At 35.5% G+C, this 24,980-nt stretch overlaps 1 protein-coding gene, 1 long non-coding RNA gene and 1 pseudogene across 2 annotated transcripts in view; 1 reads left to right on the plus strand and 2 right to left on the minus strand.

Annotated features, from left to right (window-relative positions):
- The window catches only part of PTPRQ (protein tyrosine phosphatase receptor type Q), a 236,039-nt gene that overhangs the window by 97,812 nt on the left and 113,247 nt on the right, over positions 1 to 24,980 (plus strand). The window contains exons 22-25 of the mRNA NM_001145026.2: positions 43 to 318; positions 684 to 835; positions 4,510 to 4,651; positions 7,419 to 7,688. Of these exons, the coding sequence (NP_001138498.1) occupies positions 43 to 318; positions 684 to 835; positions 4,510 to 4,651; positions 7,419 to 7,688 (840 nt within the window). The remainder of the gene's footprint in view (positions 1 to 42; positions 319 to 683; positions 836 to 4,509; positions 4,652 to 7,418; positions 7,689 to 24,980) is intronic.
- Positions 1 to 24,980, minus strand: part of LOC105369867 (uncharacterized) — a 176,665-nt gene that overhangs the window by 11,473 nt on the left and 140,212 nt on the right. The window contains exons 3-4 of the long non-coding RNA XR_007063388.1: positions 10,118 to 10,217; positions 8,582 to 8,654 (exon numbers count right to left, since the gene is read on the minus strand). This is a non-coding gene — a long non-coding RNA (uncharacterized LOC105369867). The remainder of the gene's footprint in view (positions 1 to 8,581; positions 8,655 to 10,117; positions 10,218 to 24,980) is intronic.
- Positions 18,967 to 19,498, minus strand: AKIRIN1P1 (akirin 1 pseudogene 1; annotated as a pseudogene).

Raw genomic sequence — 24,980 nt, forward strand, 5'->3', positions numbered from 1 at the left:
ATTCACTTTTGTTTCATTTAATATTCTCTTTTTCTTTTATAGTCCCAGAAACTTCACCAATAATCAACACTTTTAAAAACCTTTCCTCTACCTCAGTTCTCTTATCATGGGATCCCCCAGTAAAGCCAAATGGTGCAATAATAAGTTATGATTTAACTTTACAAGGACCAAATGAAAATTATTCTTTCATTACTTCTGATAATTACATAATATTGGAAGAGCTTTCACCATTTACATTATATAGCTTTTTTGCTGCCGCAAGAACTAGAAAAGGACTTGGTCCTTCCAGTATTCTTTTCTTTTACACAGATGAGTCAGGTAAGCCAGAATCCACATTTCTTCAAACAATTTCACTGTTGCAGCGCCTGCTCTCTCTTTTTAAGGAACAGCATGGAATATGAAAGGATATCTGATTGTCTATTTGTAACAGCCTTACCATTATATTTACTTTGTTGATTTTTTTTTGCAATTTGAGCTTCAGAATTTCCTGTTCTGTTTAAAGCTACTTTGGAACTACTCTGTCCAAATACAAATTATAATTAATTATGATATTTGTTTCTGAAATTTAAATATGATCATTTTATAAATCTTTTTAAACTAGTGTCTTCAAGAAAGTAAGTCACGGTGCTATTTTTATGTTAAAAGTTTTATGAATGTAAGTTTCTTCATGTGTTTTCCTACAGTGCCGTTAGCACCTCCACAAAATTTGACTTTAATCAACTGTACTTCAGACTTTGTATGGCTGAAATGGAGCCCAAGTCCTCTTCCAGGTGGTATTGTTAAAGTATATAGTTTTAAAATTCATGAACATGAAACTGACACTATATATTATAAGGTAGGTTGATTATAACAGTATATGTTTATTTTTAAAAATCAGAAATTGAATTAAAATCTTTTGACATATAGGAGGAAAATGGACTACTAAATTAAACAATGACTATTTTTTTAAACTTCTTTATTTCCTACAATTTAAGGATGCTTATGGAAAACACAAGCAAGCGTTTGACAGATATATAAGCTGAATACTTCATAGAGCAATGTACTTAGATTTGTAACTTCCAGATATCTACAATTTAAGAAACAGTTGCATCATTTTGTTAATGCTGGAAAGTGTATAGTACTTTTTTCCTGACTTACAAATATAAAATGTATTTCTATCTATTGTTAACAGCAGCACCAAGGGAATCTTTTTAACCTTTTAGAAAGGTATTCATCTTTATTCTGGACTTCTGGTCATCTTTCCAGATAGCATATGATCCTACACTAATTGGTCTTTTACGATATATCCTTATTTTTTTTTTATTTTCAAGAGTAATTCATTTGCAACACTAACCACATTTTCCCTCCTCCATTTTTGGAATTCAGAATTAGTGAAAAATATCCACAGAACTGATGCAACAAAGAGTCTCAAATATATGTCTGTGATTTCTAGCATTTAATTGCCAAAATGTAATTAACAAGCATTTATTTAAGAAAAGTTTCTTATTTTTTTCCCCAAAGGCAAATGAAGTCCTGGAATGTTCTTATTTAGTTTACAGCAAGAAGAGTGCAAAAAATCTGCAGTAAATATTTTACTCAATATTATGAGTATTACAATTTATGACTATGGTAAATCATTGTTATAGCATATGTAGTTTACAAATTGAATAGTAAAAGTCAAAAGCAGGCATTAACTTTATGTCATCGGGAACAATGACTTTCTTTCTGGAAACCAAGATATTACTTTAAAACTTGATAGTCTGAGTATAATTTGAATCCTATTACTCCATAAATGTGAAATTTGTTTCCCAGAGGTGTGAAATAACATTAAATGACATGAAGCCTCTTGCCCTTTAATATCTATCCCTGGTTTAATCTTAACATTATTCCATTTTTTATTTGCTTTGTCTGTATGGGTCACTGGGAGATAGATATCAAAAGGAAAAAAGAATCATTTTCTCAGAGTAATCGCATTCCTAGGATAATTGTGTACGTGTGTTAGAGTGTGGTTGTCTATATATGGATCTTGTCTCCTCAGAATGGTGATCTGTAACATAGGCTCTCTTAGCATAGCGGTGAAGCAAGGGCTCTGACTCCAAATTACCTGGCTCAGATTCTGCCTTTGAGACTTACTGTGCTTCAGTAGGGACATTGCTTACCTCTTAATGCAAAATGGGAGTTACAAAGATGTGTACATTCGAAATTGAGGATTAAAAAGGAAAGTCTCCATAGAGCATTTTGAACAATTCCAAGCATGTGATAAATATGTTAGCTATTGTTGCTGTAATTGTACACAGTTTTTAAAAGAACAAAAAAACTGTCCAACATTGTAATAGCACTAAGCATGAAATGACAATATGCCATTATGTGAACATGAGAATAACTTGTATTCTAAGATTTGTAAACAGGTTTTCTCAATAGAAGCACATCTTTAATATTTCAGAAGTAGCAAAAATACCATCTTTATACCATTAAGTATTCAATACATCATTTGGGATGGGCAGTAGTTTTGTGTTTTAAAATCTACTGCGTCATGTTACTCCTTTTTACATCTATTTTCTCTTTCATCAATTTTCATAATCTTATTTGCTTTCAAATTCCTTTAAATGTACTCTCATGCCATCTTTTTCCCTGTCTTGGCATCTAGTTACTATATCTGCTTTCCTTTTTCTATTTCGCTTTCTCTCCTAGTGTGTTCTATTTTCCTTTCTCTTTCATCTACCCTGATATCCTGACAGTATCAATTTATATTATTTTCTCTGTTTTTCTATTCTTTTTCTTCTTTTAAATTATGTGTGCATTTGTGGAGGTAGAATAATGCTTGAACCACTTCAAATGTTACTGCTATCCCAGTCAATCCACTGTGGTCCACAGATAATAAAATCAATAGGTGACTTAGGTCACTCACACATACTGAAAGAAATTATTTATTTAGTACAAAGTTCTATTAAAATATGTTTGTAAGTATTCATCACTCATGTTTCTCTTTTTGACAACATATTCTTGTGTAAATCTGTTCACTATCCCATAAACTATTCTCTTATTATTATGCCCTCTTGGGTTCAGTTGTTTCTCTGGTTTTTAGCCCTTCCTAACCAAAATCATAATTTGCTTGTTTTGTGTTTAATTTTTTCTCATTCAGAAATTGTAGATTTCTCTAGTTAATATAAAAATTCCTTGATGGCAGGGACCATGCCTTACATGTGTCTATAATCTCCAGATTATCTAATGGCATGTTTTGTAAATAGTAAGCAGGAAAGAATGACTGAAATAAAGAGATTCAGTAAGCCCCTAAATTCAGTGAATTTCTAGAGATTATTTTAAAATAGGATTCTAATTGTAAATTCCCCAAGAATTAATATTCTTGTTAAAATTTCTGTTACTGTGATGTTTGATAAATGATCAACATGGTTTATATTTTGTCAGATATAATGTAAGATTCCTACATTTATATCACATAGGAGATTATCTTCTCTTTCCATGAGGATAGCTGATTAATCTTAGCTGCTTTCTTGGTTAGGACAATTATCTTTGAATGAAAACTTTGTACTTAATGATAATTTTTTTCTATGAGAAAGCGTATTCCTCCTTGGGCAACTATGATACTCTTTTGTTCCTTTTCTCATATCTCTAAAAACAGTGTCAAATTAGAAATAGAGGAATCGGCTGGGAAAACTCCCAATTTAAGCTTCATGGAAGCAGATATTTTAAAATTATTATTTTAAAATAATAATAATTTATTATTATTATATATAATAATGTTATTATTATTTATTACTGTTTTGCCAGTGTCTACATACAGTAGCTGAAGAATAAATAAATTTACACAGGAATGCTGTGGGTATTAAAAATGAATTTAGATGAGTTCAGAAAACTCAAGTATCTCTGACCATGCACAAGTTGGATTTAAATTGCAGACTGTAATTATGCAAATTAAAAAAAATGAGTATATAATTCCAAGTAAAAATCATGAAAATAAAACACTCTAGTTTTTTAAAAAGGCAATTATACGCCAGGTGCAGTGGCTCACGCCTGTAATCCCAGCACTTTGGGAGGCCGAGGTGGGCAGATCACCTCAGGTCAGGAGTTCAAGACCAGCCTGGCCAACATGGCTAAACTCTGTCTCTACTAAAAACTACAAATATTAGCTGGGTGTGGTGGCACATGCCTGTAATCCCAGCTACTTGGGAGGCTGAGGCAGGGAGAATGGCTTGAACCTGGGAGTCCACCTCCCACTGCACTCCAACCTGGGCAACAAAATGAGACTCTGTCAAGAAAAAAAAAAAGTCTAAAAAAGGCAATTATGAGGTTCTTCAGGGAAAAGAAGGTGCCCAATTCATCCTTGTATCATAAACTGAGCACACTCTATGGCACAAAATAAATGCTAATATTTGTTTTATTATAATTTAAAATATCCATGCTTATTAAACTATAGGTTAAATATAAAAGGAATAACTTCAATGAAAATATTCCATTGATGAACAATTTTTTGACAGTGCATTAACTAATAACTTTTTTTCTGTTTTTCAGAATATATCAGGATTTAAAACTGAAGCCAAACTTGTTGGACTGGAACCAGTCAGCACCTACTCTATCCGTGTATCTGCGTTCACCAAAGTTGGAAATGGCAATCAATTTAGTAATGTAGTAAAATTCACAACCCAAGAATCAGGTTAGATACAGTTTTTGAGCCTAAAATGTTTCTTTTTATATTTAACACCTTTCTTTTCCTTTTCTTAGTTTATATGATAAAGTATCATTACTTAAGAGTCTACTCAAAGGGAAATTGCATTTCAGTGCTTTACGTTTAGTCTTGGTCTTGTGTGAAATCATATGCTGTATGTGTGTTTATACATATATTTTCACACATGGTTTTTCCTTTTGAACAGAGGAAGTTGAAATAAAATAGTAGTTTGGGAACAAAATAGCCTTCTAGATATCTGTGAAAATTACCTAATTCTTAGAACTCTTTGAGACAGCTGGGGAAAAAGGGGGAAATGAACTAGCAGTCACTTTTAACGGGCTGATTTATATTTTTAATGAAACAATATCTATAATTTTCTTTTAAGAAGATTAGTTGTGACATTTGGAGAGCATGAGTCATTGCATAAGCCCCCTATGTTCCCATCATCCCATCTTTACCATGTGGCGGACACTGAAATATCATTGGTCTAATTCATCAACAGCTTACCTGCTGTGTCACACATGTAGTATACATGACATATCTTGCCTTTGTGTGCACACTGAATAGTTTTTATTTGGGACCTATTTAATGATGGCTTAGAAATGTACTTTTCCTTTTCTCAACTGCACCATACCTTTAAAAGCACCTCTTCTTAATTTTTTTTTTGTTTACTTCTGTCAATGTTTATTGAATGAGCAAAAGATCCCGTTCTAGTCATTTCTTCTTATCAGCTCTGGATGCACTTCCTGGTATGTTAGTGAATCTTTAAATCGAGATTGTAGACCACTGACTACTAAATTAATCATTTCTGCATAAATTTATGGCTACCTGACACTGTTTTTCGTGCATTTCTGTAACAAATGCAAAATAAATAGCATTTATAATGGATAAAAGTACATGCTGTGAAGTCATTTTCTGGATTTGAATTTGAGCCCCATGACCTACTAGTTGTATAATCTTGGCAAAGGCTCATGACTCTGTGAGCCTCTGTAACCTTAACTGAAAAGAAGCACATATTAGCAGTAGCCATCTCATAATGTTGTTGTCAAAAATATTTGGAAAGATCCACATAAAGCACTTTATAGAGTGTTGTACACACAGTAAATGCCCACTTCATAGAGTGTTGGACACACAGTAAATGACCCCTGAATATTACTGTTGCCCCCATTCCCATGTTACAGATGAAGAAGCCATGATTGAGCTAGATTAGATGAAAAGGACCTTGAAAAAATTAGTGAAGAACCTAACTAGAACATTGGCCTTCTGACTTCTAGTGAAGAGTGGACATGACTGCAGGAAATGCATGTTGTGAATGAGTGATAGAATATAAAAATGTTCAACCCATAAATAAAAAAATATTTTAATAATATTTGTACATGAGGACAATAAGAATCAGGGCTAATCTTGTAGAAAGTGCTCTGTAAACCCATAAATATTTTTTATCAGTAAGATAAAATTGTACCCCAACATTCTATACTCTGATTATTTAAATAAATAAAATTTTCACCTTTAAGTGTTTTAATATCAATGGTTAATTTTTTTTTGAGGTTCAAAAAATCAGGAAAATGGATATTCACAAAATCTGGATTTAGAAACTAAAGTTCAGCAAATTGTCAACTATCTTATGTTAACTTATTTTATAAAAATGTTCTTATATGATTCTGAAAACAAGGAAGTGAATAGTTAATAGCATTTAATTGCCAGATCCCTTGATCAGCCAGAAATTATCTTTAAAAAATTTTTTAATGCCACATATTCCCTAAATATTCTCCTTTAGTACTGGTGTCTTTATCTTACAGAGGAAGAAAAGTTTATAACAGCTCAGTTTAGACCCAGGTAGAGCGGTGTAGGCAGATCAGGGATCACCTGAGTATTCTTTAAAGCACTATGTTTTGCATAATGGCAGCAAGTTATTTTCTTTCAATTTTCATTGTTTGTAATCCACAAATTGACTGTGTCCCAATTTTTCTTCTACCATTATCTTTTACTGTGACCAGAAAAGTTATTCTACTAATGCCACCATTAGGGGACATTGGCTAATTGGACATTTCTGTGGGAAGTAACCAGTTTCTCTAATGTGCAGTCACTTTGGTGGGCTAGGATATTGTTCTTTGACCAGGCCTACCAGATATAGAGGACCTCTGAGAAGCTGGGTTAGTTTCAAGTAAATTCAGAGAAGCTCTAGAAAATAAGACTGAGACTCCTTAAATCTTCCTTCCAATGATGTCTACAAAAGGTACTTAAAAATGAAATCCTCAAGATTCTTCCAAAGAAGCCATCCCGGTAAAAACCAGTACCTTTAAATTAGTTAGGGGTTTCCAAGTACTGTGAAGCCCAGATTTGTCACAACAGGGAGGCACCTGCATCTATGTTTTGCATAAAAATGTTCCATAATAAAGTATTGCTAAGATTTTTCCTTTCCAATTAAGAGAGCAGTTATCAAACACTGCCTGGGCCTGGGCTTGAGGCTACACATTTGCTTCTGAGCTTTTGAGGATGTGATTGGTGCTTCGAACTGGAAGATATTTAGTGACTGGTTCAATACTGTAATGATTAATACAATAGCATAAAAAGCAAGTCAACAGCCTTTTGATTCTGTCTATGTTAATGACTTTTTAAGCACACATTGAAAATTTGATATATTAAATATTTTTCTAGTTCTAAACACAGATGTATCTAGTGATCACGTAATTCAATCAATTATCTACTTACATATGTATACACTTTAACTTTGGGCATATGTTTATCTCTTAAGTTCCAGATGTCGTGCAGAATATGCAGTGCATGGCAACTAGCTGGCAGTCAGTTTTAGTGAAATGGGATCCACCCAAAAAGGCAAATGGAATAATAACGCAGTATATGGTAACAGTTGAAAGGAATTCTACAAAAGTTTCTCCCCAAGATCACATGTACACTTTCATAAAGCTTCTTGCCAATACCTCATATGTCTTTAAAGTAAGAGCTTCAACCTCAGCTGGTGAAGGTGATGAAAGCACATGCCATGTCAGCACACTACCTGAAACAGGTAACTAACGTGAAACAGGTAACTAACATGAAACCTTTAACTATTTGGGGATTGTGTCAATACCACCTGCAATCTTTATAGCATACTTATCTAAACATACAAAGCACATATTAAAAAATACAACACAGGCTTTTTATCCCACGTGTTGCTTGAGTACCAGCTGTGTACTACATTGACCCTTCTCCAAAACATTGGGAGATTGAAGGGAGGAAAAAAAGAGAGATGATCCTCTTTACTGTATTTCCACAAATATAAAACCCCCACCTAATGAATTATGCTTTATTGTGATTTAAAAGAAGAAATAAACATGTAAACCTTTCATGTATATCTCTTTTTAGTCTTACTTGTTTTTATGGAATTCTAGATGTTTTCCTGAACTATATGGTTGCAGTATCAGACTCATTTTCATCTATTTTCTCCCCTTTATACCAGCCTTTATCTTTCATGTTATTTGAATAAAATATCCGGGTCGTTAAGCTTTAGTCCACAAGACGAAATTCTCACCTTCCCTAGCAGTGCTCTGTCCTGTATCATAATATCCTTCATCCTATTTTCTTCCATATTCTACCTGCTTATATAAATTAAAACCTGTTTCTTTCCTGATAACACCACTTCACTGTAGATATTGGCAATAATTGTTAACTTCTGGCACATCCAGACCCTTTATCTTGGAAACGTCTTTCAAGCCGTCTTGAGGCTGTAAACCTAGAACATCAAGACATAGTCTGCCTTCTCTCTGATTTCAGCATCTAACTCCACATCCTTTCCTTCTCATTCTTCCAGTGCAACATTTTTTCAGACTACGGTGTTTCCCTTTCCAGGATGGAATAGTTACATTTCAACAACACCATCTCTTTGCTCCTTAGATCTCATACCATGTCATTGTGACTTACCCTCCAGGAAGCTTCCTCACTCTGAGAAGGCCCCATTATTTGTTTTTTCCAAGATGCTGACTGGTAAATATTTCTAGGAAAAAATAGAAATGATTCTACTTTGTTTGTCTATAAATTCATCGTCCTTAATTGTCCCAGCTGCTCCAAAATTTTCTATGTATCCCTTGTTTATTCTTCATAGGAAATATGTTCATAGGAATACTCTCTATTCCATATGAAAATTGTTCTCTTTCTGAACCTAGTCTGTTCCCCCATCATCCATATTTATTGTTATTTTACTAATAATATCAAATATATTGATAGGCCCTCCTTCCATCAAAATTTATCCATGTCTTTATTTATGCCCTCCAGATATCTTCTCTTAGGAAGTCCTTGCCTTCCTCTTTCAGGGATCTAGCTGTTCATTTTCATTTTAATCTTATGTCTTCTCTAGGATATTACCCCATCAATTTATTCTAATATCTCCTGCATTTATCCTCTTTCTCTTTTTCTTGCACATTCACCCAAATTGTTGAAAAATCCCAACTGAAGACCTAGTTGGAGTATCAACTCCAAATATATATGAAATGGAATTTGTGTTACATGAAATCACTGTCTTTTTCTTAGTTTTCTATGCCTGTTCTTGACAATCCATTGGACCCCAAGCCTCATAGTTTTATACAATTCCTTACTCCATCTCTTCTACATACAATCAGGTCTTATCAATTCAATTTCCATCAGGGCTCTGCAATTTGCCCCTTCTCCACCTTGGCCACCACCATTGTATATTAGAGGGACCTTGTTGCTTCCTGTAATAACATCTTAACTAGCCTTATCACCCACACTACTTTAGCCTACCCATAAGTCTCATCTTTCCTCCTACTCACTTAATTGAATTGGTTCTAACATACAATTAGACCATTTATACATTGGCAGGTGAAATGTAATATCTGAACAATAAAGTTTAGACGTGTCAAGTTGGGTACCTGAAGCACAGAAGTAATAATGAAAGGCACCATGTGTAGGAGATGGGTTAAAATACTCCAAATATTTTGCTCATTCTCATTGTCTAGAAAATATCCCAGAATCCATCGCTAATTAGAATTTGGCTTCTCTCTAGCTTTTTATTCTTATATCCTTTTATTGTATCTTCTCATATAGCTGATGTCTCCAGCCAAACTTCATTTATTTAGCATGCTATTTCACTATTTCAGTATTTTAACTCAGAAAACATTTATTAAACATCTAGTATGAACTAATAATTGACTAGATTCTCTTCTTTAAACATATCCAACCATTTTTCATCATCAGATTGCTTTGCTTCCTTTAACTGTATTATTATTTTCCCTTTCTATGACACATAAAATTTTATTCATTTTTAAAAGCCCAGCTTAAATGTGCCTTCTTTATTAAAGCCTTTAATGGCATTTCTGGACTTCATCCCAGACTTGCTGACTCATAGCCTCAATGAGTGAAGCTTAAGAATCCATGCACTTAAGAATCTCTCTAGGTAATTCCGATATTCTGTATGTATTGGAGAGTACTGGAGTAGATTACCAGGAACTTTTGAGGACAGGCAAACAGTGTCAGAAAGGTCCATCAAGGGGTGACAGGTGTTTTCCCAGTGGGTGGCCAGCACATCATTGCTATGTGGAGTCTGTGGGAAGAAAAAATGTCAAAATGTCAAAATCCAGGTAGGTGGTCTGCATCAGGGTGGTCTAGCACCAGGTATAATGGTCTTGATCATTGGGCAGGAGCTGAGTCTTTGAGAACTGGCAAATAAAATTACAGGACAACATATCTGAAATAAATGAGAGATTCAGGAACAAGGCAGGAGATACTAGGTTGGTGCAAAAGTAACTGCAGTTTTTGCCATTAAAAGTAATATTGAGTATACTGGTACTCAAAGTGACAGCTTAGACACAGGAATGAAGCAGAAATTCAGTTAGTAGAACTGTGATTCATAATCCAAATCGCAATGTGCACCTGATGTAGAGCCACCTAAATTTAAGGTCCAGGTCTTTGTAAAAAAAAAAAATTATATATATATATATATATATATATATATATATATATATATATATATATTTGGAAATTTGAATTCCGTCTTAACTCAGGATTAAAAGGCAACATATGTAGAGATTGAGGGGATTCAAAATCAAAGAATTAAGCAGTTATTAAACATATTGTACTATGAACTATGTACTTTCCTACTACTGAGTACCATTGCTTCTCAAAGCTTGAATTCTGCATCAGAATGTGCAGCACTGTGGCATGGTTCTAGACTTATGGAGTCAGAATTTGGGAATTAGGACTCAGATCTTCATTTAAACAAGACATGTGAATAATACAATGCTGAATTTGGGAACCACTCATTTCCACCGCAAACTCTTTGCTTGTAGGAACCATGTCTTATTTGTCTTTATTTACTCACAGTTCTAACAGAAAGCCTTGGACATTGTAGGCATTCAAATGGTTGTAGAAGAAAGAAATGAATTGTTTTCTTCTAAAATTCATTATTTTTCATAGAGGTTTTTACTCCATTACAATATATTATTTCCACATTCCCATCAGGCAAAATTATAAATATTTTCTCCCATATAAATATAAAAATTCTTTAAGGAGAATCATTTATATAAAGCATGAGTATTAATTGCTGCTTCAAAAATATTTTGATTTTTATTTTTAAAATTGTTCTGCATCTAGTAGGTAATTATATTTATGATTACAATATTTATTAGGTAATTGATTTTTTATGGATTCACATGAATTGTTTGTTGATAAGAGGTTAGTAAGAACTGGGAATTTATTGTTCAGATTGGAAAAAATTTTACAGCCTGTTGCATACTTCTAATTTATGTGGTCTAAGATTAGTCACAGTGTATAGCCAGCTCTGAGTCACTGACTCCGTACTTATTTTTGACATAAAGTGAAATCAAATTTGGCTCACTCTCTCACTGCCTAGTGTCTGACCTTCCAGGGATTATTGGGTATTTTTTTAATGTAAACTTGGTCAAATCTGGATGCAGCTAAACATGTATCGTGACGATTGAATTTATGAGGAGATTAGTGTTTGGTGTCTAAGCTGGTTCCCTTGTCACAGTCAGATATGTTGGAACAGGGCAGTAAAGATGAAGGCCCCCAAGCTTGGTTCTACATTTTTAACAGCAATTTTATGCCCAAATATATCATATAAACCAATACAAATAATACAGCAAGTCCATGTGCATGCGGTATTTAATTTTTAGAACCTTGAATTGATTCAAAATGCACTTATTCATTTTACTATCAAAACTTAGCATAACGTGGATGGAACTGGAGGACATTATGTTAAGTGAAATAAGCCAGGCACAGAAAGACAAACTTCATGTGTTCTCACTCATTTGTGGCAGCCAAAAACTAAAACAATTGAACTCATGGAGATAGAGTGTAGAATGATGGTTTCCAGAGCCTGGAAAAGGTAGGAGGGGCAGGGGGGGTAGGAAAAGCGGGGATGGTTAAGGATACAAAAACGCAGGTAGAATGAATAAGGTCTAGTATTTGATAGCACAACAGGGTGACTAGTCAATAATTTCTTTTACATTTAAAAGTAGCTAAAATAGTATAATTGGAATTTTTGTAACACAGGAAATGATAAATGCTTGAGGTGATGGATACCTCATTTACCCTGATGTGATTATTATACTTTGCATTCCTGTATCAAAATATCTTGTGTACCCTGTAAATACATACACCTACTATGTACCCATAAAAACTTAAGATTTAAAATTTAAAACCAGTTAAAACAAAGCTAATAAATGTTGGGATTTAATATTTGGTTTTAAAAACTTGGTCTTTTGTGGAAGATAATTTTATAATTTGGGTTTATCCAGAGCTCTTCCAAGCTCCATAATTTAGAATCAAAAGAGAAAAATAAGGTACTTCCCTCAGATGCAAAAATTTAATTTAGGGAAAGTAAAATGTGTATTTCTGGTTTTTAGGGGTGTTCTTTTCTGCAGTGATTTCTTTATTAGCTTTTTGTCCAGTGGAAGATATCAGGCATATGCAGTGATCCACTGGAAATCCACTGAGCTTGCAAATATATTAATGCTACAATATGATTGACTTGGCATGTATTCAATTTAATTATCATCATCATCATCATCATCATTTTAGAGACAATATCGCACTATGTCACCGAGGCTGGAGTGCAGTGGCTTTATCTCAGCTCACTGTAGCCTTAACCTCCTGGGCTCAAGTGATCCTTCTACCTCAGCCTCCTGAGTAGCTAGGACTACATGTTTGCACCACCATGACCAGCTTATTTTTTGTTTGTTTGTTTGTTTGAGACAGGGTCTCATTCTCTTGCCCAGGCTGGAGTGAAGTGGCGCTATCTTGACTCACTGCAGCCTCCACCTCTCAGGTTCAAGCAATTCTCGTGCCTCAGGACTCCCAAGTAGCTGAGATCATAGGTGTGCACCACCACACCTGGCTAATTTTTGTATTTTTAGTAGAGACAGGGTTTCACCATGTGGGCCAGTCTGGGTATCGAACTCCTGACTTCATGTGATCTACCTGCCTCGGCCTCCCAAAATGCTGGTATTACAGGCGTGAGCCACCGCTCCCAGCCTGCCCAGCTAATTTTTTATTTATTTTTGTAGAGATAGTCTCACTATGTTGCCCAGGCTGGTCTCAAACTCCTGGTTCAAGCAATCCTTCTGCTTCAGCCTCCCAAAGTGTTGGGATTACAGGCATGAGCCACACACCCAATCTAGCTTATTTGTTAAATACATTACTTATATATTTTATAAGAATTTATAAAATTCTTATATACCATTTAATAGATTGAATGTGGGCAGTAAAACTGCTGCCCTTCTATGGCTACAAATTAGTGCACTAAATCAAAAGTTCACTTTTCCTTTGTATCCTACTTACATAGCTTTCCTCATCCATCTCCTGAATTAAGATTTGAAATAAAGGATGTAGGAAAGTTGCATGATTCTGATTGCTCTCAAGCAAGTGAATAAAAACATTCAACTTACCGGTGGGTAATCACTAGAAGCACAAAAGACATTATAGTTGCCTATCATAAATCAGAGGGAAATAACTATTAGTATATCTAATTGAAATTCAGGTGTTTTATACAGTATCTTTTATATAGACTTAATTATTAAATATAATATTTTTCTTCAGTGTGAACATCAGGTGAGGAATCTCTTTTTACACTTCTTGTAGTGCAGTGGACAGTTGACCAATATATACTTATTTACTGCTTGCTATGTTCAGGTTCTAGGTGTGGGGTTCAAGACCCAAGTTTGAGTGCCAGGTGGCATTGGGGATCTTTGCCCTGCACATCCAAATAACTCCATTATTATAATAAAAACATATTTAATATGTATAAAACAAACACAAACCTACATAATATGTTGGTCAATTTTGTGGCTTGAAGATTTTTTTTTTGAGACAGAGTCTTGCTCTGTTGTCCAGGTTGGAGTGCAGTGGCACAATCTCAGCTCACTGCAACTTCCGCCTCCTGGGTTCAAGTGATTCTCATGCCTCAGCCTCCTGAGTAGCTGGGACTACAGGCCTGTGCCACCACACCCAGCTAATTTTTCGTATTTTTAGTAGACATGGGGTTTTGCCATGTTGGCTAAGATGGTTTCGAACTCCTGACCTCAGGTGATCTGCTCACCTCAGCCTCCCAAAGTGCTGGGATTACAGGCATGAGCCACCATGCCTGGCCTTGAAGATTTAATTAAATAAATATTCAGGAGAAAAATATTTTATTGAAACTTTTTTGAAGAGTGAAATGTGAATTGGATGTTGCTTATTGATAGTTTCAAAATTGCTTTCTATGGGAAGTTAAGAACCAGTAACCTAATTGGAAAAGGATGATATGGCACATATTTGTCTTGAACCTTGAATTTCGTAGACAAGTACACTAATGTTTACTTAGATCATCTGATATAGATCAATAAAAGTCAGGTTTTCTAAATGTTCTTTTTGGTTTATCAGTATGCTATGAGAAAATGGCAATTGTACATATCAAAGAACATTCCTCTTTTATTGGAAATATCTTGGATGGTTAGGTTGAGATCAGAAGAGATTATGGGTTGACTAAAGCACTCATGGTAAGCTGCCCTCCGACACCCTCACTATTCATGAAAATAGTGAGAATAGTAGTTAGAGGAGAATAAATAGGAATTTCAAGATACAGCAAGAGAAAACACATAGTGGAGAAAGGAATGCAGTACAAGGGGTCAGGCTGAGACCAAAGCTTGACTACAGAGGAGGGTATTTTATTAGAAGGAGTGTAAGCAGGAAGGTTGAATAACTGAAGTGGACCCCTACTTACTCTGCTCTTAGTTTGATGTGACTGTCCCAGAAGTTTGAATCTGTTATAATAGAAAATCAGGAACTTGTGCTAAATTTAGAGAAGGAAACAACATAAGTAATTCTAAAAACAGTGATTGTTTTTGGCCATTTTCCTGAACACTGCAGAAATCTCTTTAGATGGAGGATTTGTTCATTACATATTTACTGAGCCTCCTAAGTAATACAGAATAAAATCTCCAGTCATTTCAATGGCCCATAAAGCCCTTCTTCTCAATCCAGTTATCTGTCACTTCCCTTATCTTGAAATTTATGCTCAAATGCTACCTCTTCAAAAAGGATTTCTGACTAATTTGCCCTTGAACGTCCTTCCTCCCAGCTAGAATTTTCCATACTCCTTTCCTGCTTTACTTTTCTCTTTTGGATATATTATATGTACCATTATCTGTGGGTCTGTTCTCACATGCTGCATGGGGACAGAGATTTTTCTTGGTTCAAACCTATTTCCAATGTCCAGAAAAGTATCTGGCATACGTGATAATAAGTATATTATAAATGAATGAATCAATCAATGCACAGGCCAAGAAGAGTGATAGGCATAGAGCAAACACCAAGTATGCATATGCTGGGTGTCTTAAGTAGAAACTTGCAGTCACAAAACAATTTTTAAACAGTTATGTATTAAAACATATGAGAAAGGCATGTCTTGATGAATGTATTTTCTAACTAAACATTTTAAAGATAGTTGTAGATTCAAATGTAGTTATGAGACATAATACAGAGAAATCCTTCATATCCTTTATCCATTTTCTTCCAGTGGTAACATCTCTCAAGTAGTGACATCTTGCAAAACTGTACACAAATAGTATATCAGATGGAAAACCTTTCCATCAGAATAATCCCTCAAGTTGCCTTTGCATAGACAGACCCAATTCCTGCCCACCATCCTGGCATCTCTCCTCATTCTGACCCCTTGGACACCACTAATCTGTTCTCCATTTTCTATAATTTTTTCATTTTAACAATGTTATATAAGTGGAATTATAAAGTATGTAACCTTTTTTACCCAGAAAAAGACATTCAACCAAGTTTTTTTGTGTAGCAATCTTCCTTCCTCTCTCTCTCTTTCTCCCTTCCTCCCTTCCTTCCCTTCCCTTCCCTCCCCTTCCCTCCCTCCCTCCTTTCTTCTTTCTTTTCTTTCTTTCTTTTCTTTTCTTTTCTTTTCTTTTCTTTTCTTTTCTTTTCTTTTCTTTCTTTTCTTTTCTTTTTGAAACAGTCTTGCTTTGTCATCCAGTCTGGAGTGCAGTGGTGCGATCTCGACTCACTGCAACCTCTGCCTCCCGGGTTCAAGTCATTCTTCTGCCTCAGCCTCCCGAGTAGCTGGGACTACAGGCGCATGCCACTGCACCCAACTAATTTTTGTGTTTTTAGTAGAGACAAGGTTTCACCATGTTGGCCAGGCTGGTCTTGAACTCCTGAGCTCAGGCAATGTGCCCACCTCGGCCTCCCAAAGTGCTGGGATTACAGACATGAGCCACTGCACCTGGCCTTTTTTTTTTTTTTTTTTTCTTTTTGGTATGGATGTACCACAGTTCCCTTAACCATTCACTAGTTGAAGGACATGTGAGTTGTGTCCATTTTGTGGCTATTAGAAATAAAGCTTCTATAAACACACGTGCACAATTTTTGTAGGAACATAAATTTTCCTATGTCTAGGATATGCACTGAGGAGCACATTGCTGAGTCATATGGTAGTTGCATGTTAAGTTTTTTTAAGAAACTGACAAACTGTTTTCCAAAGGAATTGTACCCCTTTAAATTCACACCAACAATGTATGAGCCATCCAGGTTCACACATAGGTGTATAATGATGTATCATTCTGGTTTTGTGTTTCCCTGATGGCTAACGTTCAATAGCTAATTGAATATATTTTTTATGTACTTATGTACCATCTGTATATCCTCTTCTATGAAATGGCTGTTCATTACTTTTGCCCATTTCCTCATTGGATTGTTTTGTTTTATTGTTGAGTTTGGGGACATTTTTAATACATTCTAGCTACTTGTTTTTGTTAGATATATGGTTTGCAAATGATTTTTGCCAGGCTGTAGCTTGTCTTTTCTTTTCTTTCTTTTCTTTTTTTGAGACGGAGTCTCGCTCTGTCGCCCGGGGTGGAGTGCAGTGGCGCAATCTCAGCTCACCGGAACCTCCGCCTCCCGGGTTCAAGCAATTCTCCTGCCCCAGCCTCCCGAGTAGCTGGGACTACAGACGCGTGCCACCATGCCCGGCTAATTTTTTGTATTTTTAGTAGAGGCAGAGCTTCGCAGTGTTACCCAGGATGGTCTCAATCTCCTGATTTCGTGATCCGCCCACCTCGGCCTCCCAAAGTGCTGGGATTACAGGCGTCAGCCATCGCGCCCGGCCTGTAGTGTGCCTTTTCATCCTGTTAGTAGGGTCTTTTACAAAGCAAAACTTTTTAATTTTGATGAAGTCCTATTTATCAATTTTTTCTTTTATGGATTGTGTCTATGGATGTCTAATTGCTCTAGCACCACTTGATGAAAGAGCTGTCTCTCCTCCATTGAATTGCTTTTTCTTTTGAAGCTTAGTATGTTGCTTGAAACTATGCTTGTTAATACTGTATACTGAAAACGTACAAAGAATAATGTTCCAATTTAAGTTAGATTTAAGTTAATGATGTTCATTAATAAGGACTCTTCAGATATAAATATTCCAGAATTTCTCTTAGCTTTCTAATCAAAACAACCATCAGTGAATATTACCTTACTTTGGAAGGTATAGATATACATTTGAATTAAATTTAGTTTTTCCAAATAACCCCTAATTTGAGAAATATATTCTATCTTGAAACTAAAATAATTTAATACAACTTTATTTTCTTCCCTCCCCTCCCCTCTCCTGTCCACATTTTGTAAAATCTGGTCCTGAATAAGTCACAATATAAAAATAAATGTACACTTAACTTCCACTTCCTCCAACCACAGGCTACTTTCTGTTCCTCAACCTTGGGAACAAGGTGAAAAACAGTAAGCAATTTGGGCAGGGCATTGCCAAAACAAGATTCAAGCAGCCACATGTGGACACCTCTTAAAAGAATTTGGGGAAACGAGACCAAAGAAGTCAGGTTTGATTTTTAGTGACAATAACAAACATGAAGTGACTCTTCCCAAGTAAGAGTGCCACTGGGATGTGGCCTGGCCACATGCTTACCTATGCTATACTTCCCAGGAAACCCTGATGCTCTGCTCCAGGAGAGACCTTTATCCTTTGGAGGTTCAGTGTCTTGGGAGCTCTTTGATTTTGTCAAAGAGATGAGCAGAGATTCCCTGTGGGTATTTTAAGGCTTGGTGTCAAGGTATTTTTCTGACACTGCTGAGCAAAGTCCATGTATCAAATGATCTGTTTCTAGTTTGTTTAAATTCTTCACATCACTTGTAGACCTAACATGGCAAAGCTTCATTATTTAATCATAATAACACCTACTACCCATACTAACTTATGATTTATTTTCTGTGCCTGGAAATAGTCTCTGTGTTTAACAATAATACCTGGATGCAAAACAATCCACTGTTATATGGCCACAAAATATTAATGATCTTCTGAAGGCCAAGAAAACATTTTAACTATAGTTCTTGCACAGAAATTCACACCCAGAATCCCCAAAATTAAAAAAAATTTGGACAACACAAATAATAGTTTAAGATACACATACATACAACACAGATACTCTTACACATAACATCTTTTACGGAAATGTGTTTAGTGAAACTGTTCATTTGTTGACAGCCACAGAAGTCATATTTTGCTAAATAGCTGCTCCAGCTGTTTTTTTCTTTGGAAAATGTATCACTATAGGATACCCTGTTTATTGCATAAGATAAAAGAAAAATATGTTGTGATAACCAAAAAGTTTTAAGGGCTTTCAAGTTATGTAAAAATGGACCTATGGACATGGTTAATTGTCCTCAGGATGCAAAATTGGAGCTGAAATAGTATATCAAACAATTGCAAAAAGTGTACTGCAGCTATCTCTTGGGTCAAATCTGGTACCCAGAAATGGAGAAAAGCCTCAAGAAACATTGCTGGTTGGCCCTCTGCCACTTGACTGTATGATCTGATCACATGTAAGTTTCACAAACGATTCATATTTCTCTGCTAGTTTGACGTTGAGAATTTGCTCATAAACCTCCCTAATTTTATCTTCTTGGTCCTTTGAGAAACACATAGTATCCCAACTTGTCAGAGAGGAAATTTGAGCTGGTCCTTCTTTATCCAGGAGAGACCTGAAAAATTAGGTGGTGTGAGTACTGCAGAGTGAGGCTGATTTTCCAAAGCACTAACTTTGTTCTGATTAAGAACAATTTACAATGGTCTCCACTGCTGGTAATGATTATCTTCTTTTACGTTCTGAAAAATCTGCTCTGGCTGGGAAGGTGCTGCTCACTGCCAGGTGGGATGGGCTTCAACAGAGAAGGTAGGGTGTATATCTGAAGCAGAGGTGGCAGGATTACGAAGACTAGGGCAAGGCAGAAGGCACAGTGCCATACCTTTGGAAAACCATGGCTTAGCAGTGCCACCTCCATCTCCATGGTTCACTCCAGGGTCACCCACCGGTCATGCCATGCTGTTGAGGGGCAGAGACCTGGAGCAGACACTGATATGACTGCCTGCACAGCCACTGGCTTCTCGGTGGTATTCAAACGCCAAGCCATTTTCCCATACTCTTTGAGTTTGAGGAACTTTTTGGAGATTGCTTGAGATTCTCTGCGTAGAAAATCATGCCATTTGTAAAAAGGGTCAGTTTTGCTTCTTCCTTTCTCATCTGTATGCCTTTTGTTTTTTCTGTCTTACTGCACTGACTAGAAATTTAGCTCTATGTTGAATAAGAGCAATGAAAGAGGACACCCTTGCCTTGTTCCTGATCTTGAGAGAAAGCATTCAATTCTTTTACCATTGTTTGTGATGTTAGCTGTAGGTTCCTCTTTATCGAGTTGAGGAAATTACCCTTTACTTGTATTTTTCTGAGAATTTTTATCTTAAATGGGGGTTAAATTTTGTCAAATGCTTTTTTTTGCATTGATTGATAGTATTCTTGCAATTTTTCATCTTTGCTTGTTAATAAGGTGGATTATGTTGATTGATCTTCTAATATTGAACCAGCCTTGGGATTCTTACACTGCTTGGCCATGATATGCATATTCCTACCCCACTTGGCATTGATGTATGTGTATATATAACTGATTTCTATTTGATGATATTTTGTTAAGGATTTTTGCATCTATATTTATGAAAAATACTGGTCAGTAGTTTGCTTTTTTGCACTGCCTTTATCTAGTTACTGTATAAGAGTAATACTAGCTGTGTGAAATGAATCTCTTCTAATTTCTAAAACAGATTGTGTGGAAATGGTATTCATTTATCTTTAAACAATTGGGAGAGTTCTCCAGTGAAACTATCTGAACTTAGAGATGTCTTTTTGGAGAATTTTAAAATTACATTTTTATGCTCTCAGGATGCAAAGTTTGAGCTGAAATATACTATCAAACAAGTTAGAAAAAGCAACACTTCTCGATAATTCATAGATTGCAAAGGAAATCTTAAGATAATTTTTAAAATACATCAAACTGAATATGCTAAAATATATTGAATTGAAATGAAAATTCAACATATCAAAATTTGTGAGACTCAGTGAAAAGAAAGAAATTTGTAGCACTAAGTGAATATATTTAAAAAGAGAAAATAGACCAATAATCTAAATTCCCTCCACAAAAGAAAGCCTAGAGATAGAAAAGGCAGAGAATCCAAACCATGCAGAAGGCAGGGAATAATAAAATGCAGAAATCAATGAAATTGAAAACAGAAAAACAGTAGGAAAAATCAATGAAATGAAAAGCTTGTTCTTTGAAAAAATAAATAAAATTGACAAATCTCTAGCAAGCCTGACAAAGAAAAAAAGAGAAAATTCAAGAATGAAACAAGTGCAGACACTGCAGACATAAAAAAAAAATAAGAGAATACTACAAACAGCTCTCACAGTTAAATTTTATATATGAGATGAAATGTACTGATTCTTCAGGAAACACACCTACTACACTATACTCCCTAATATGAAATAGGTAATTTGAATATTTTGAACAGTTGAATAAAATTAATACTATAAGTATTAAAGACATTAAGTGTATAATGGTTTCTTTGTTTGGGCTGCTATAATACCAGAAACTGGATGACCGATAAACAACAAAACTTTATTTCTTACAGTCTGGAAGCTGGAAAGTCCAACATCAGGGCACCAGCAGATTCAGTGCTTGGTGAGGGCCCATTTTCGTGTTCATAGATGGTTCCTTCTTGTTGTGTCCTCATATGGTGAAAGGGATGAGGCAGCACTCTGCAGCCTAATCCCACTCGTGATTACTGCCCTAATCCCACTCGTGAGGGCAGAGCCCTCATGAGCTAATCCCACTCATAAGGGCCCTAATCCCACTCGTGAGGGCAGAGCCCTCATGAGCTAATCACCTCCCAAAGGCCTTATATCCTAATGTCATCACACTGCTGTTTAGGTTTCAACATATGAATTTTGGGGTGATGCAAATATTCAGACCAAAGCAGTTTTCTTTTATACCACTCTAGTAGAGAAAGGGAGGAGTACGTCTGTTATTGCCAGGTAGGGGTAGAAATCCGGGTTTCCAACTTGGGCTTTGTTATACCCAAGGAGAGGATTTCTCCTTGCTCCTGGGTTAGCTTGGGATTTTTGGCTCCCTACTAAGTCTCCACTGGGATCACCCTGGTTGGGAGGAGTAGTGATACCTTTTCACTGATGTCCACATGTTTTCCATTGACATTATGGTGGAAGGGTCTTATTACTACTGGAGAGGGTGAAAATCTTGGCTCCCTATTTTGCCGTCTCTGACATCACTGTATGATGGTTCGGTGCCTTATTACTGCTAAGAGAGAGAAGAAGACTAGGCTCTGTATTCAACATTTGTCAGTATGGGAAAGAATGAGATCATAGTTTCTTTCTGTGCTTTTTTTTTTGAGTAGACTAGCAGTTATTGTCTGAAAATTTTCTGTCTTGCTAGACTGCACTGTTTTTTTTGTGTGCGTGTGCTTTTTAAATTTTTAGCTAGAGAGAGCAGATTTTTTTTCTTTTATTTATTTATTTTTATTAATATACTTTAAGTTTTAGGGTACACGTGCACATTGTGCAGGTTAGTTACATATGTATACATGTGCCATGCTGGTGCGCTGCACCCACTATCTCGTCATCTAGCATTAAGAGCAGATTTTTATGGGGGCTTTTTTTGGTCAGTTGGTTGGTATTTCCAGATTGCTGGCTTCTAGGATATATGAGACAAAAAGAAAACCCAAGGAATTCACCACTATGTTATTACTTGAGTGCTGCACTCTCTAGCTGGTCTACCTTCCTAACTCCACCTTTCAGCCTCCTTTCATTTATTGTGAATTTAATGATTTTTAAGTACATAGTGGGAGGAGTGGAAAGAATACATCTACTTCATCTTCCTTGAAGCAGAAGTTCATCCATGGGTATATTTTGAATATCAAGCAGGATACTTTTTATCCATCTATTCAAGATCAAGTTATTAAACACATATTAAGTGCTGTGGTAGAAAGTATTGGGATGACTGTAATGAAATGAATATATTTCTTGTGCTATTAAAGTTTAGAATTATATAATTTTAGATCTTCATTGAATCTCATAGATAACTTCATTTAGTCATTTCATTTTGCAGACATAGGAAATGAAGCACACAACTGAAGTGTTTGTTGAGTTTTCTACAATTAATTATTTGCAAAACTATTACTAGTCCAGAATTCTTTCTACTATATTGTCTCCCCTACCTTAGAAATTCAATACATCATTGTGTTCATTGGAATTACAGGAGTTTTCTTCCATTATTTCACAATGTCTAAGTACAGACATTATGAAGTAGGGAAATTTACTTTCATTATAAAACTTTCTTCATTAACATGTATAGATACATTTATAATGTGAGTATATACATACTTTTGTCCAAAGTGGATTTAAAATTCAAAAAAAACTAAATTTCTATGATCAAATCCATGCTTAGTCTATAAAACTAAAAATATTGTGAGTTAACGTAATAAGATCTGTAAAATACTGAGGCCATTATGGGAAATGTTTAAAGTTCCTACATTCATATCACATTTTTTATCTTGGATCAGTTCCAAAAGTGTAATGTTTGCTATTTTGAAATTATCTTAGGTATCAAATTCCAACTTATAAATTTAAAAGTTCTTTAAATGTAATTCCTTTTATAAAAAGTGAATTTGGGTTACTCTGCATAATTCTCCTTGACCCCACTGATGCTTTAATATCTCTCATTAAGTGGACTCCAGGCAGCCACTCTTTGCTTTATCCAAGCTCCAGCTAAGGCCAGCTGTTCTTTGAGCAGTGTTTTTATTAACTTATTTAGGAACTGGTGCATATCTTATTACCCTATTTTCCATTCCTGTCCTATGCAGCTGTAGTTGATACTTTTCATAACAGCCTTTACATATCAACCTCCTCCCCTATTTTTTTTCTTATTCTCTTTTACTTCCCTTTTTAAGTAAATTAAGCATGTGTGTGCATGCAAAAGCCCTCTTCTTTCTTTCTGGTAACCATATGACGTGAAAGCTTCAGGAATGTGCCTGTTGTTTGTCTGAGATTATAAACGTCATGGAAAAACTTTTACTAATGATGTAAACATTCAGAAATGTAGAATACATGAATTTTAATAATAGCAAAATTTCTTCAATGTTGCATTTAAGAAATTAATTTAGACCTAATTTAAAATCAATGCAATGTAAATACAAAGAAAAGGATTTGAACAGATAGAAGACTGTACAAAATACTACTAACCTCAGCTTACTGAATTTCAAATATTACAAGTTTCATGGCATATGAAAATACAAGTTTGAGGAGGGAGCTATTTTATAAATGTAAGACACGCATAAGTTGCAGCCACTATGAGATTAAACACATTCAAAATTCAAATAAGGTAAAAGTAGCATTTTTTAGTATATTAATAAGTTATCATTGCAATTTGAATTTTCACTACCTACTCACTACAACCTTGAATAAATCACCCATTGCTTCTATGTCTAGATACCTTTTTATGCAGAATTACTATTTTAAAAGCAACTTATATTAGAAATATAATAAATATTATTCCATATGAATTGCAATAATGAAATCTATACTTATTAAAAGATACATTAAAAATTAATAGCCCAAGCCAGGCATGGTGGCTCATGCCTGTAATCCCAGCACTTTGGGAGGCCGAGGCAGGTGGATCACTTGAAGTCAGGAGTTCGAGATCAGCCTGGCCAGCATGGCAAAACCCCGTCTCTACTAAAAATACAAAAGTTAGCCGGGCATGGTGGCAGGTGCCTGTAGTCCCAGCTACTTGGGAGGCTGAGGCAGGAGAATTGCTTGAACCCAGGAGGCGGAGGTTGCAGTGAGCCAAGATTGCACCAGTGCACTCCAGCCTGGGGGACAGAGCGAGACTCCATCTCAAAAAAAAAAATTAATAGCCAAATAGGTTCATTACTAATTAAAATAACGCTACTTTTGTGTTTTCATTTTTATTTTTTTGAGACAGGATCTCACTCTGTCACACAGGCTGGATATGCAGTGGCACCATCACAGCTCACTGCAGCTTTAACCTTTTGGGCTCAAGCGATCATCCTGCCTCAGTCTCCCGAGTAGCTGGGACTACAGGCACATGCCACCACACCTGGCTAATTTTTAAAATTTTTATTGAGACAAGATCTCACTATGTTGCCTAGGCTGGTCTCAAACCACTGAACTCAATCAATCCTCCTGCCTTGGCCTCACAAAATGCTGCGATTACAGGCATGAGACACTGTGACTGGCCTACTTTAATATTTTTTAAAAATCAAGATCACATTTTGTAATTTTTAAACACACTACATTAATGATATTTGTTGTGCATGAGAGGTCTAGCATTTTTAAACTTTGGACTTGAAATTTAAAGCAAAATTTGTATTTAGGTTGTTATCAAAGAAATGGTTAACTGTGTAAAACATGTTAAAAGTTGTGTG

This window comes from Homo sapiens, chromosome 12 (assembly GCF_000001405.40).
Source record: "Homo sapiens chromosome 12, GRCh38.p14 Primary Assembly".
NCBI lineage: Eukaryota > Metazoa > Chordata > Mammalia > Primates > Hominidae > Homo > Homo sapiens.